The sequence below is a fragment of the Homo sapiens genome, chromosome 3 (genome assembly GCF_000001405.40).
Source record: "Homo sapiens chromosome 3, GRCh38.p14 Primary Assembly".
Classification (NCBI taxonomy): domain Eukaryota; kingdom Metazoa; phylum Chordata; class Mammalia; order Primates; family Hominidae; genus Homo; species Homo sapiens.
In genome coordinates, this window is record NC_000003.12 from 195,255,235 (window position 1) to 195,269,900 (window position 14,666).

At 52.4% G+C, this 14,666-nt stretch overlaps 1 protein-coding gene and 1 long non-coding RNA gene across 5 annotated transcripts in view, besides 2 other annotated features; one reads left to right on the forward strand and one right to left on the reverse strand.

The window, feature by feature from the left end:
* XXYLT1 (xyloside xylosyltransferase 1) overlaps positions 1 to 14,666 on the reverse strand; it is a 202,876-nt gene that overhangs the window by 186,951 nt on the left and 1,259 nt on the right. The window contains exon 1 of one of the 4 annotated variants that reach the window (XM_005269286.6): positions 1,271 to 4,265. The exons of the other annotated variants lie outside the window; for them this stretch is intronic. The gene's annotated coding sequence lies outside the window, so the exon portion shown is untranslated. Of the gene's footprint in view, positions 1 to 1,270; positions 4,266 to 14,666 lie in introns of those variants that run through there. 4 annotated transcript variants of the gene reach the window in all.
* Positions 865 to 1,039: a silencer, noted in NCBI's record as "fragment chr3:194976828-194977002 (GRCh37/hg19 assembly coordinates)". NCBI's record gives its function as "represses an EF-1alpha promoter that drives an FKBP-Casp9 reporter gene in an ReSE screen in K562 erythroleukemia cells {active_cell/tissue: K562}" and the evidence as "EXISTENCE:reporter gene assay evidence [ECO:0000049][PMID:32094911]".
* Positions 4,362 to 5,301: a silencer, noted in NCBI's record as "silent region_15032". NCBI's record gives its function as "represses an Ori minimal core promoter by ATAC-STARR-seq in GM12878 lymphoblastoid cells {active_cell/tissue: GM12878}" and the evidence as "EXISTENCE:reporter gene assay evidence [ECO:0000049][PMID:35858748]".
* Positions 5,113 to 8,420, forward strand: LOC124909475 (uncharacterized). Its single transcript, XR_007096225.1, has 2 exons — positions 5,113 to 6,415; positions 7,750 to 8,420. It is a non-coding gene; the product is annotated as an uncharacterized LOC124909475 (long non-coding RNA).

Consider the following 14,666-nt stretch of genomic DNA (forward strand, 5'->3'; position numbering starts at 1 on the left):
CCGACCAGGCCTGGAGATCCCTGTGACAGTCACGGCAGGACTGGGGCTGCAGGAGTGCAGAGCCAGGTGGGAGACAGCAGCGGGGTTCCCTACCCCACACGGCTCGCACCCACGAGCTCAGCCCCCAGCAGGACCCAGTCGGGCTGGGGACTCAGCTCCATCCAAGTGGGCTGAGCAGGGCCAGGCAATGGGTTGGAGGGAGCCATGACTCTGGGCCTGCAGCTGAGGAGGCTGCAAAGCTTCCTTCTGGAGCAGCCGATCAGTGGACGTGGAGCAAAGCCTTTCATTGTCCACAAAACACAGACGACTGCAGGGAGTCACAAGTGGGTGAGATCCAAAAGCTGTGTCAGGCTAGAAACCAAAACAGAAGACAAACCGGCGCACAGAGCAAGCACAGCGTAGAACTGGCTTCCGAACACAAGGGAAGGCAGGCAGGGAGACCATGAGTGCAGGGAACCAGAGAGGGCACAGGAGAGCTGCTCCCAGTCTCCCTTGTCCACTGAGCAGCTGTGTGGCCCTGAGCAAGTTGCTTGGCCTCTCTGGGCCCCCGTTTTCTCATGGATAACATGAATAGACTCAACTCCAGGACCAGAGTCTGGACTCCCTCCAACCCAGACCTCTTCTGCAGCTAAATGAGGGAGGTGGGGCTCCAACATCTCAGCCTGTAAATCCCACCTCCTAGAAAGAGGCTCCCTGCTGTTCTATGGGCAGCTCCTGGAGGAGGGAGGGAAGGTCCACCCCGGGCAGCCCTGGGATTCCCCTGTTCTGTGCCACCCAGCTGACCAGGGGAAGAGGCCACCCAGCCAGCAGCAGGCACAGGGGCACCGTGGGAACCCTTCTGGTGGGGCCCCAGCTCTCACAGAGCATTCCTGGCTTTGGAGGGACAAGAACAAACCGCCAAAATCAACAGGCATCGGGCAGAGTGCTGAAGAATCAGCAAGCCGGACTCCAATCATGGCTCCGAGCAAGCTCATCTGTGCAGCCTCTTCCTAGGGGAGACTAGCTACCCCTCACAGGCCTGGCTGCTCCAAGGTTAAATGAGGGAGGAAAAGCAGGATCCAGCATGGTGCCTGCCACCCAGGGTCTCCTGCGATGGTGGCAACTGTGGCTCATTGACGGTGACGATAAACCTGAGACAGCTCTGGTCATTCCAAGTCCCTCGCCCTCATGCTCCGCGCAGGCCTGAGGTGCGGCCCTGCACAGGGCAGGGCCCGAGAAACGAACCAGTACCTCCCAGAGGACGGAAGGGAAGTCAGCACGGAAGCCTCACCTAGGGTCATTCCAGGGATTATCCCAGAAAGAGGGGAAGAGCAGCCTCCTCACACCCCGCAACTTCTCACCCGCACATTCAGGATGGGGTCTGGAAAGGGCATGAGCTCTGTAAGCCCCCAGCACTGTTTATACACGCCTGGAAGAGAACAGACTGTTACTCAGAGCCGGAGCGTCCCCACTCCTCTTATGATGAGAAACTGAGGCAAAGACATCAGAAGGCCTTGCTAACAGAAGCCAGGGTCAGAGGAAGACCCAGAACTCAGGATCAATAACATCTGGGCAGGACTCTGTCCACCACACTCCAGCTGAAGTGAGCGCCCAGGGGCAGGTGCAGGCTGAAGAGCTTGCCCAGGGCACTGCCTGCCAGCCGGGGCTCTAGGCAGACCAAGCAACCTTCCCAGGGCTCTCAGGTAAGGGAGACAAGTGAAGCCCCTTGTACCTCCCAAGGGCCAGCATCAGCATTTCTTCATGGTAATGCAAGGGGGACAGTTCCAAAACCCAAAACACCGCTGACACTTCATGGCTAGTGTCAGGCTGGATGACTTTCTGCAGGAGAACCCGTGACAAGAGGGACCGGGAAGCTTTCTTTACAAGCTTGAGGCCTCTGTAAGCGGCCAAGGACGCCATGTCCCGCAAGTCTGAGCAGCATGTGCACAGGACATCTGACGGGCATCGGTGCCCAGCCATCCCACCCCGGCCTTCCATGGCTGCACTCACACCCCACTGCCCACCGTGTTGGCATCCAGCTCCTCCAGTGTGCGAGCCTATGCAGTCTTACCCATGCCAGGCCCTGCGCCACTACATCCTGGAGACACAGAATGAAATAAGACACAGTGCTCATCCCCCAGCAGCTGGCAGAAGGGCCAGTGTCAGCTCGGCAGGAGCCAGGGGAAAGGGGCTCACCAGGGTGGAGGTGAGAGGTAGGTCCCCACATAACTGGCACCGTCCGAGCTTCATCATGAAAGGCGAGTTAATCAGATGAAGATGGGAGGAATGGGTGATCCGGGGAAGAAGCCCCTGAGCAAAGTCCCAGAGATGGGAAGTGGCCGGGGTACACCACAACCCCAGGCAGTCCAGCCAGGTGGATCACCATGGCAGCCAGGTACATCCTGGCTGGGCCGGCACGGGCCCCGTAGCTCTCCCTGTGGCTCCCGCTCCAGAGTCCTGGCTACTGCTGACTCTCTGCCAACCCAGAGAGCCACACACTCACCCAGCCAGGCCGCCCTACCCCAGCTGCCCCCCTCTGCCCCATCTTCTGGTCATGACTCTCCTGCCAGGGACAGAAGACAGAGCCAGTCTGTGGCTCCAGCTGCCTGAGTTCCCTCATCTCTAAGGTGGGCAGGTCACATGCTACCCACGTATCATGGGTGTATATCCTCCAAGCTCCCTGCCCCCCAGCCAGCCTCTCCATCCTCACAAAGCAGCCCCGGCACACCCACAATCCTCGACCCTGTGTCTTCCTACCCCCTAGACAGCAGGTGGCCAAGGGTGCCCTAAGCAAAGCCTGCACTATGCCTGATCTTGTGCAGGTTTTTCAGACTGACAAATCCACCTGCTGAGCCTATGAAGCCCCTGCAGAATCCCACGCTGACCAGGACTCAGGGAGCCTGGCCACCTGAGCGGTCACACAGAGGTCACATCCTGGGCTGCTGTGATGCTCTGGCAAAAGCAGGGCCACCTCACAGCCTTCAGTGAGGCAACAGCCACAGAGGGTGAGGCTAGAGACCCCACTCAGGGGGATAGTGTGGCAGCCAGGCATAGGAGCAGGCTCTGGGAGTATGTGGGGCTATGTGGATCCATGAGCGTCTCCCCAGAGGCCCGGCCTTTTTAAGTCATTTACAGCTTACACTTGGCTGATGCCCAAAAATGACTATAAACAGTTACTGTGTGCAATCAGACCAAGAAAACAAATCAAAAACCAGTAAGAGGGAAACAAAACATCAAAATTTGACCAGAAATTGTATAATTGTGCACCATTTACTATAAACAAATTTGAATTGGAACCTTCGAGAAACTAAGGAACGTTCATAGAGGCGACTCTGTCATCTACACAAGACTACAAAGGCTTCATCATCCTGACAAGCAGCAGCTCCCACTCCAGAGCACAGGCCGGCTAGCACTGCAGAGCCTCTGTCCAGGGCCAGGTAGGGCTAGGGCCCCTGGGGAAGGGACGTGATGAAGATGAGCCTCTTCCTTCCAGCAGGAAAGAGAAAGTGTGGATGCCCCTGAACATCAAATAAGGCTAAGGCATCCTGTGCTTTCAGAGAGAGGCAAACAATATATTGCCAAGAGGTAGGGGAGGGAGGAGTGTCAGAGAAGGAAAAAACACCGTAGTTTGGAGAATTGAAGACTTGCAAGAACACGGGGACACCGGAAATAAACCTGGCCAGAAAGCTGTTTTGCAAGCTAGCTGCACTGCCCTCCAACTGAATCAACGGTATCAGCATGGTGAATAAACAGGTATGCGCTTTCTAGAGTGACAACAGCAGGGTGTCAGTTCCCAACACACCTATTCCGGTACCATTATTAGCAGCCACCGTTGACCAAGCACCTGCCATGTGCCAGGCTGTGAGCTGTCTCATTTCATCTGTTATCCCGGCAGCACAGCTGTGCTATCCCCAGGCCTGCCTGAGCAGGGCCGCAGGGGCCAGCCTCTGGGAGACTAGTCCCACCAGCAGAGGATGGCTTAATCGGGGCTGCTTAACAGTCATCGCCCTAATAAATAAAACCAATGGCCTTAATTTAAAACACATTAACTTAACAGCAGGCTTTCTGTCAGCTGATGAGGCCTAGCTCCACTGCTCAGAACAGGCAAGTAGTTAGAGTGGCCTCTCAGAGTCAGAGCCGTGAAGTCAAGGTCCCTGTGGCTTGCGGGTAAGGCCCTGGTCATCTTGACTTGTCTTCCACAACCCACACGACGGTGTGAGTGGTCCCAGGGCGAAAGATAAGAGCCCTGGATGGGAAGGCTGTGAGGAAGGGCAGCAGGGAGGCCTTCGGGCCCTGCCAGGCGGCCCTTCCAGCAAGCAGGCGGCCGGGCTCCTCCTCCCAGGGAGAGGCCTCCCGCCCCAGGTACAGGCCTGGGAAGCCCTCATCTCACCGCGAGGACAGTCGCGTGCGACAGGCCTGTAAGGTGGCATCCGAGTCCCTCCCGCAATTAAGGACGCCGGGCTCCAGGCCAGCGCCAGGGACAGACCCAGCACCAGGGCGGCCCCCGGAGCCGGCCTCTGGCGGCCTCGGGTCTTTTGCCAAATTCCCCACCGGCGCCAGGATACCGAGGGGCCACCCCCACCACGCGGCTCCAACAGACACGTTTCCCACACTGGCTGCGGAGGCCCGCCGGGTGTGACGGGGACCGGGCGGACTGGAAAGGATGTGGCTGGGGCCCCGGGGAGGACCAGGCAGGAGCGACGGGCCTCCCACGCAGCCTCCCTCCGACCGTGCTGCCGCATCGCCCGTCCCAGCGGCTCGGCCCCGCCTTGTCCAAAGGGCTCATCAAAGCCGGTTTACCGGCGGCCCAGGAAGGAAATGACCGCCCGCCGCAGCCCCGCCGACTGCCTTTCAGTTCAGTGCTTTCGAAACCACAAGGGCGGGCGGGGCTAGAGGAGGAAAAAAAACACCCCGCGGGAGCCTCAGGCTTGGGGGCTGCAGCCGCGCGCACCTCGCCGGCCGGGGGTCGGGCGCGCAGACGCGGTGCAGCGGCGCCCCCAGGCGGCCGCGCGGGGCACTGCACTCGGCCCGTGTGTCGGCCCCGGGCGGGGGAGGGACCGCGCCGCGGAGGAGGGGCCAGCCCCGCCCAACGCCCGACGCCCGCGGCCCCTCCTCTCCAGACGGGGGGCCCCGTGCTGACCGCAGCCGCGGAGCCCGCAGCGCACATCCCGGAGCACAGGACAAAACCTGTGCCTGCACCGGAGCCCCCATCCGGCTCCCGCAACACTGACCCCCCTGGGCAGCCTCGGGCACGGGGCACCTGGAAAGCCAGCCCCGGACACCGCGCGGATTCTGCCTCCCGGAGGTCGGACTGCATCCTCCCGTCCCGGGCGAGGCACATCCAGGAGGAGACAAGGAGGCGAAGCCCCCTAGGATAGGTGAAGACGACAGGCCCTGCCACCTTCGCTGTGGGTATTAGGGTGGGCTACCTCTCAACCGACCCCTCCGAAAAAGACGGGGCTGCTGCTATCACCTCCCTCAAACAGCAGAGGAGGTGCCTGGCTGCTTCTAAAGGCAGCTCGCTGTGGCACTTAGTCACTGCCCCTTTCTGGCCCAGGGTATCAGCTGGACGGGGGACACTACGCCCAGAGCTTCCTTCCTGTTCCGATGTTTGGCGAACCTGCAGCGCTCCCTGAAGCAGATGAGAGGGAAGCTGCACTCCCAGAAAGCGCAGTTTTGGTTCATATTGAATGGATTTATTGGGGGTGTCATCGGCAGGCGGATGACAGATTGTCAGGTGGGCTACAGCCCTGCCCTCATCCCCACACCCACAGCCCCTTGGCAGAGCTGCTAGCGGGGTCCTGAAGTGCCTCCTGCTGCTCTGGGAGCTCCGTAAGCCACCTGCTCTCAGCCTCAGGGATGCCACACCTCTTTCCCCAGCCTCAGCCACGCTCAAGTGAGGCGTCTGCACTTTTATACATTCTAAAGGCCTGAACAGGCCGGGCGCGGTGGCTCACGCCTGTAATCCCAGCATTTTGGGAGGCGGAGGCGGGCGGATCACCTGAGGTCAGGAGTTCGAGCCCAGCCTGGCCAACATGGTGAAACCCTGTCTCTACTAAAAATACAAGAATTAGCCGGGCACGGTGGCGCACGCCTGTGTAATCCCAGCTACTCGGGAGCTGAGGCAGGAGAATCGCTTGAACCCGGGACATGGGACATGGAGGTTGCAGTAAGCTGAGAACACACCACTGCACTCTGGCCTGGGGGACACAGCAAGACTCCATCTTAAAAAGAAAAGAAAAAGGAAATTAAAGAAAAGAAAAGAAAAAGGGGAGGGGAGGGGAACAAATGTTGCTACTATTATTCTCCTCATCAAGACTTCATACTGGTAAACATCCCCTTGCTGACTTCAGGCACATCAGTGTACACGTCAGAAATGTCCAAACCATGTCCTCGGAATATGCCCATTTCTAGCGATGTTGTAACACCTTACAGGGTAAGGAGGGGAAAGTCAAGGTAACTGTTTTTTGGGGTTTTTTTAAGAAAATGCATTTCGGTAAATATATTAAAAAATACCAAATACATGTATGTAGTTGTCCTTAGCAACATGTAATCGTCTCATTATTTGTCATTAGGGAAATGCAGACCAAAACTAAAATGAGATATCACTTCACACCCACTAGAATAGCTGTAATTGAAAAGATGGATGATTACAAGTGCTGGTGAGGATGTGGAGAAATCAGGACCTCCATACACTGCTGGTGGGAATGTAAAATGGTATAGCTACTGAGTTTGGCAGTTCCTCAAAAGGTTAAACAGAGTTAACCATTCCACTGCTAGGTTATACCCCAGTGATGTGACAACATATGTCCACACAAAAACTTCTAAGTAAATGTTCACAGCAGCATTATTCATAATAGCCTCAAAGCGGAAACAACCCAAATGTCCATCAACTGATGAATGGATGATGTGGTTTATCCATACGATGGAATAGTATCCAACCATAAAAAAGGGTGAAGCATTAATGCATGCTACAACATGAACCCTAAAAACACTAGGCTAAAAGAAGCCAGACACAAAAGACCACATATTAGCTGAGCCCACTTGTAGTGAATACTCAGAAGAGACACATTTATACAGAGAGCAAGCTGATTTGTAGTCTCTAGGGGCAGGGGAGACAGGAGGACGGAGGGTGATGCTAATGGATACAGGGTTTCTGAGGTGACAAGTGTTCTAGAATCAGTGGTCATAGCTGTACAACCTTGGGAATACACTAAAAACCACTGGATTGTATACATTAAATGAGTGAGCTTTATGGTACATGAATTATATTTCAATTTTTGTTGCAAAAAAAAAGTAATTATCTATCTTTTTAAAATATGGCCTACAGGAACAAGGAACAGTCAGGAAGTCATGAGGAATGACTGATACCCAAAGCTGGAGCAGTTAATCCGTGCATTGAGGCCCCCACAGATTTTATAAATCCCCGTCGATCAGTGTATTTCATCTATATCATGACCCCAAGGCTCTGCCTTATCATTTCAACACATACTTGCGGGCTTCTCCAGAGTTTATTGTATTTGATACAATACTATACAAAGTTATTCCCCTTAGATCTGTGATCATAAAGTTTTCCATAAGAAACATACATTGGTACACAAACTACTACAGCTGTTTTCATGAGTATATTACAATTTAAAAGAATGCCACTGTTAAATGCATTTGATAAAATATGCACTGTTCTCTAAACACTGCCATATAAAATGTCGGCCTATCTTTTCAAAGAGCCTCTCCCTTCAGGACATGTTTCTTTGATCACCTCTTTTCCAGACCATCATCAAAAGTTTCATTCAGGTGCAAGGTGCCTGCTGCTGTGACAAGCTGGAAAATCCATTGCATTTCCAGGGTCACCTGTTTGTCATTAGCTTCATCAATGAGACAGCCAGCATCAAGGTCAAGGTCTTCACATCCAGGCTTCTCTCAAGCCCCACCAATGAGCTAAGGTATTCAACTTTTCCAAGTCACTCACAGGTTTGCTCTTGCACTCAAAGAAACTCTGAGAATCCCCTACTGCATTTTAACATTTGTCCAGTATTCCTAGTCCTTGGCACATGCTCCTCCTGGAACCCAACCTGTAAGGTAACCCAACCTGTAAAGTGGATGCGAAGGTTTAAAGGGTGTCCCCTGGAATTCATGTGTTGGAAATGTGAGCCCCGGTGACGTTGCTGGGAGGTGGGGCTTTTATGAGCTGATGAAGTCATTAAGAGGGATTCATGCCTGTCTCCCAGGCCTGGGTTATATCTCTTGGGAGGGAGCGAGTTCTCACTCTCACTCACGGCACTGGATGAGTTACCAAGAGTGGCTGTTATAAAGCCAGGCGCCCCTCACGCTGTGCCCCTTCTGCATGCCTCTGCTTCCCTCCCCAGAAGCTGTCACCATCCTCTTGGACTTCCCGGCCTCCAAAACCTCAAGCTAAATAAATATCTTTCCTTTCTAAATTACCCAGTCTCGGGTATTGTTATGGTGAGAGAAAACAGACAAGGATCATGGGGGATGTGCAGTTTCCTTCTTCCTCCTATTTGTCACCAGGAAATGGAGCAACCCAGTCTCAGGCTCTGAAAGAGGCTGAGGTTTGAGGGAAAAGGGGCAGATCACTGAGAACTCTTCTAGGATATCCTGGGTTTAATCACTATAGTTATTAGTCAACTATAAATATTTATTGAGAACAGAGAATGTGCCAGAAACAGTGCTGAGACTATAGTGTCGACGGGAAAAAGAGGAAGCACCCCTTCTTCATTGTTCTGTGCTTCTCTATGGAGGATGCTCTCCTGGACAAACACTCCGGCCTGTTGCTCCCTGCCCCATCCTCCTCTCCTCCTTGCACACTAACTCCTCCTTAAGGCAGGAGGATCTATGTATGCAGAACCTGCCCATCCCTGCAGGGAGGCAAGCAGCTGCCAGAGCTGTCTGTGCCTCCAGAAGTCTGTCCAGTTCTTGTGTCCCAGGTTAAGAGACTGCTTGCCCGCTCTATCATTTCCAACTCAGGCCAAGAAATAAGGATGGCATCTATGGGGTTCCCGTAAACCTCAATAGATGAAGGTAGGTAAGGTCTCTGCCTTCTGGAGATTACCTTCCAGGAGGGAGACAGAGAGACTACAAACAAGTTAACAGGATAGTTACTTGCTCAAACATGCAGAGCACACTCCAACCTGAGGCCCACACACTTGCAGGTGCCTCGGACGGAGTCCCGCCCAGAGGGCTGTGGCTCCCTCACTTCCTTCAGGCTCTGCACAAATGGCACCTTATCCGTGGAGCCATCCCTGGCCACCCGTGCACCACGGCGAACAACTCCCCACACTGACAACCACACACTTGCTATCTCTGCAGCCTGCTTTATTTCTCTCTGTAGAATTGATCACAATCTGACTCACTCCATATTTATTTGTTAAAAATCCATCTCCTATACATTCCCTGCAACCCCAGAATTTAAGCTCCATGAAGGCAGAAACTTGTTCTGTTCCCTGCTGTTCACAAGTACCTAGAACAGTGTCTGGCACAGGATATGCACTTAACAACACCCTATGAATGAATACATGAAAAAATGAATACATGCTATAAAAGACATGCACAGCCGGGCGTGTTGGCTCACAACTGCAGTCCAACATTTTGGGAAGCTAGGGCAGGAGGATCACTAGTTTGAGACCAGCCTGGGAAAGAAGGTGAGATCCCATCTCTACAAAACAGTTAAAAAAAATTAGCTGTGCATGGAGGCACATGCCTGTAGTTCTAGCTACTGAGGAGGCTAAGGCAGGAGGATCCCCTAAGCCCAGGAGTTTGAAGCTACAGTGAGCTGTGATCACACCACTGTGCTCTACTCTAGCCTGCGCGGCAGACAGAAACCCTATCTCAAAAAAAAAAAAAGAGTAAAAGAAAAGGCCAGGCACGGTGGCTCACATTTGTAATGCCAGCACTTTGGGAGGCCAAGGCAGGTGGATCACCTGAGGTCAGGAGTTCATGACCAGCCTGGCCAACATAGTGAAACGCCATCTCTGCTAAAAATACAAAAATTATGTGGGCGTAGTGGCAGGCACCTGTAATCCCAGCTACTTGGGAGGCTGAGGCAGGAGAATCGCTTGAAAGGAGGCAGAGGCTGCAGTGAGCCAAGATCGCACCCTTGCACTCCAGCCTGGGTGACAGAACGAGACTCCATCTCAAAAAAAAAAAAAAGAAAAAAATGCACAAGGTGATGGGAAAGATGAAGGCTGGCATGAGGCTTGCGTTAGACAAGAGATTCGGGGAAGGTCTTTCTGAACAGTTAAGATTTGAGCTGATAGCACAAGGCAAATACCACAAAGAAGCAATATTGCTGTGCTCCATGGAGGCCATACAAGCAGTGGCTGGTGGGCCCCACCGCCTCTGCAGAGAGCTGGCCAGCATGGGGAAGGAGAGGAGACATGAGAGGCGCCTTGAGGCCTGTTCACTGTGATCATTTTCCCAGAAGTCAGTAGAGTAGAACCATGTGATGAGACTGGACCCGAAACAATACACACAGCAGCACTGGGCTAAACTGGAGTAAATGCGACCCAGCAACACAGATGTGATGGCCCCAGCCCCGGCAGCCATCCTGGACCACGAAGACAGCGCCACCCTCAGGGATGGTGAAACACAGAGCTGGAAGGAGCCGAGGACCGTGGTGGCTTCACGAAGCCCCCATGCCAGCCCAGAAATGCCTACCTCTGGACTGCATTGAAACGAGACATAAATTCAACCTTGTTTAAGCCACCATTATTTGGGGGTTTCATGGTATATTCTGTCAAACCTGATCTGGCAGGAAAGGCACATGGAAGGGATAAGTCTTGATCTAAGTTTTACAAGTGTGAGACTGCACTTGACAGAAAGACAACAGATGCTCAGAAGCAGAGCAAGCAAAGCGCCATGAGAAGAATTCAGGAAGCTCAGCCACTGCTGTGGGTCTAGGACATTGAAATGACCTGGGAGGACAGGTAGCCAGAAGCCACTGGAGGTTCTGAATGGAAGCGATACAATAAAGGCAGCATTCTGGCCGGGTGCGGTGGCTCACGCCTGTAATCCCAGCACTTTGGGAGGCTGAGGCAGGTGGATCACGAGGTCAAGAGATCGAGACCATCCTGGCCCACATGGTGAAACCCCATCGCTACTAAAAAATACAAAAACTAGCTGGGTGTGGCGGTGGGTGCCTGTAGTCCAGCTACTCCGGAAGCTGAGACAGGAGAATCGCTTGAACCCGGGAGGCAGAGGTTGCAGTGAGCCGAGACCGCACCACAGCACCCCAGCCTGGTGACAGAGCAAGACTCTATCACAAAAAAAAAATAAAAGAAAAAGACAAAAAAAAGGCAGCATTTTAGCAAGGTGAATGTGGCAGCCTTTCCCAGATCAGCACAGCCAAAATAGCCTGGATGGAAGAGTCACAGTCAAACAGTTCCTGAACGCCCACTGTGAGCCAGGCATCATGCTCCCCACGGAAGGTTACCCAGAGGACAGGATGCCTGAACTGGGTCTTAGAGACCAGCAGGAGAGCACTCCTGGATTTCTTACAGCAGTGACGCCCAAGCCTGCCTCTGTAACTCCATCCAAATACAGACTTCCAGGCCCCACCCAGGAGATTCTGAGCCCACAGGCTGGGGTGGGGCCCAGGATTCTGTATTTTCAAGTGTCCCCAGGTGATTCTGATGCATTTAGAAAATGGACTTACTGTATAGGCTAGAAGCAGCTCCTCCTATACTGGTACCTGGAACATAGCAAGCTCTGAAGTTTACTGATTAACAAATAATATGCTTCCCTGTTCACAGATAATAAACTAACAGATTAATTAAAACCTTCAAACATATTTAAAACAAGATACATGAATCCTTTTTAGCTAATATCCAATTAGCCAAAATAAAATCTAAGGTCACTAATAATGTTCTGTGATCTATTTCTGCAACCATTTCAGCTACAAGGTGTTTCTATGCCACTTGAAAATGGCCTGAGACCTCGGTGTGTGGGCACCAGCCCCGTGCCAGTTCACTGTGGCCCTGCTCTGCATCTTGCAGCCATGCTGAGGTCCCAGAGCCAACTGAAGGGAAGAGGAGCCCCCAGGCTATCTTCAGACAGTTCTAACACCACTCAAATCAATTCTCCCTGGGAATAAACTGCCCCCTGGACTTTACAAGACAGAAGTGCTCCTTAAAGGGGAAATACAGCACAAAGGGAACAGCACTGACCTAGGATGCAGGTCCAGCCACAACTGAGTAACTTCTCCAGAAAGCCTTGGGCGAGTTTCCTCACCTGTCATGCTATATACTCCAAATCCCTTCCAGCTCTGGCACAGCCAGAGTGAGAAATTCTAGTTTCCTTCTTCCGAGTCAATACTGAAAAAACAATTCCAGTATAAAATTCCCTCATCTGTCAGGTGCTAGGGAGGCAGCATTTAAGACACGTCAATGTCAGTGCCCTTAAGGAGTTTAGAGTCTAGCAAGGAAGACAAATAATTACTCCAACGATTATATAAATACAACTGTGATAAATGTTACTAAGGAACAGTGCTTGGAGTTTGAAAGTGTGTAATGGGGGCTCAGGAAAGGTTTACCAAGGAAAGAACACCAAAGCCGAGACCTGAAAGCTGAGTACCAAGGATGGAGGCAGGGAGAACTCCAGACAGAGGAAAGGCATGTGACATATGTTCTTTTCAGGAATATTCCAAACCTGAGGAAGAATTAAATCACAAGTAAAATGAAGCAAACCTTTTAGAATCGCACATTTAAAGGAAAAAAAGAGCACTTTTCATCACAAACAGAAAAATTTACAAAATATGAACTCAAAAATCATGGGAATGCCAGGTGCAGTGGTGTGTGCCTGTAATCCCAGCTATGCAGGAGGCTAAGGCAAGAGAATTGCTTGAGCTCAGGAGTTCAAGACCAGCCTGGGCAACATAGCAAGAATTCTTATCAAAAACAAAACAAAACAAAGTAACGGAGGCCAGGCGCGGTGGTTCACGCCTGTAATTCCAGCACTTTGAGAGGCCAAGGTGGGTGGATCACCTGAGGTCAGGAATTTGAGACCAGCCTGGCCAACATGATGAAACCCCATCTCTACTAAAAATACAAAAAATTAGCCGGGCGTGGTGGCGGGCGCCTGTAATCCCAGCTACTCAGGAGGCTGGGCCAGGAGAATCACTTGAACCTTGGAGGCAGAGGTTGCAGTGAGCCGAGATCACACTGTTGCACTCCAGCCTGGGCGACAAGAGCAAAACTCTGTCTCAAAAAAAAAAAAACAAAAAATTTAGCCAGCGTGGTGGTGGGCACCTGTAATTCCAGCTACTCGAGAGGCTGAGGCAGAATCGCTCGAACCCAGGAGGCAGAGGTTGCAGTGAGCTGAGATCGTGCCACTGCACTCCAGCCTAGGCAACAAGAGCGAAACTCCATCTCACAAAAAAAAAAAAGAAGTAACGGGAGCAATTTTATGCCAGGACTGATAACCCCTTATCCAATCACTGACATCTGGCTAGAAGTCCCCAGACACTAAACCCTCACCCCTCAACAGAGGAGGTATCAGTTCCCTCTGGTCATTTGCAGCTGCCTCCAGGCCTTGAGTGAGGCTGCCAGAACTGGGCCCAGTAAAGTGGGGTAGTCCGAGCATGAAACACTTACTCCAAGACAGGAGGGGCTCGGCCCTGAGGCTGGATCTACCCCTGGGCCAATATTTCTGGTGCCAACTAAGAGTGCCAGGCATTGTACATAGGGATGGATGATAAGACATGATACAGTCACAGCACCAGGGAAGTAGAAAAGGAAAGAAGGGACGCTTCCTTGGCTCCAAGGAGGGGATGGTATCTGAAGATGGGCAAGACTTGGAGATGGAGAGAAGGAGCACCCCAACAGTGGGAATGACAAAAGCAAAGGCAAGTAGGCTGGAAAGCACTGGCTGTGCAGCTAGCGCTGCAGCGGGAGCTGGGGACAAGGGGACAGAGATCCGGCAACGGTGCAGAGTAGGCCCAGAAGAGATGACAATGCTATCTTCAAGGCGGTGTTTGGAGACCTGGTCAAATCCCAAGATCTGCCCAGACTGACCCTATGGCCAAGGGCCCTCAGTTTTCTACCGTGAACTAGTGCAAAGTTTCTCAAATATTAGGGTCATTAGGATCACCTGGGACAGGTTGCCAGGCTCCTCCTCCAGCGAGGACCTTCAGAGGTCCCAGGGTCTAGGGACTTTCTCAGGAGAGGTGAAAGCTGAGTAAAGAATGGCCAAGGGCCCAAGAGGACACTGTGGGCAGACAGTACAGCATGTATAAGGCCCACTCCCTACATAGCTAAGGTATGAGGTGCATGTAGACAAAGGAGGAGAGGTGAAGCCAGAGAAGTGGACCAGGCTCACAACACAACAGCCCTACCAATAAACTGGGACTTCACCCCGTAGGCAACAAGGAGCTATCAGAGACTCCCGAAGCCTGTAGGATCCTGGCAACAGCTCCCCTAGTCACTCACATAATACAACTCCTGTCTCAGCATGCTTCCCCAACCAACATCAGTCTCCACCCTTTAATATTACCTACTACTCCTTAAAATCTGGCCTCGGATCCCCTCTGTACAACTATTAGGTCAAAATCAAATAAGCAATTTGACCTAGGCAATTCACACTATGTCAGAAACACATCTCAGACAAGGAGAGCCAGGCAGTGAAGACAGATGATAAACAGAGATGGAAGCTGTCATGGAGGCAGACTGGTCCAG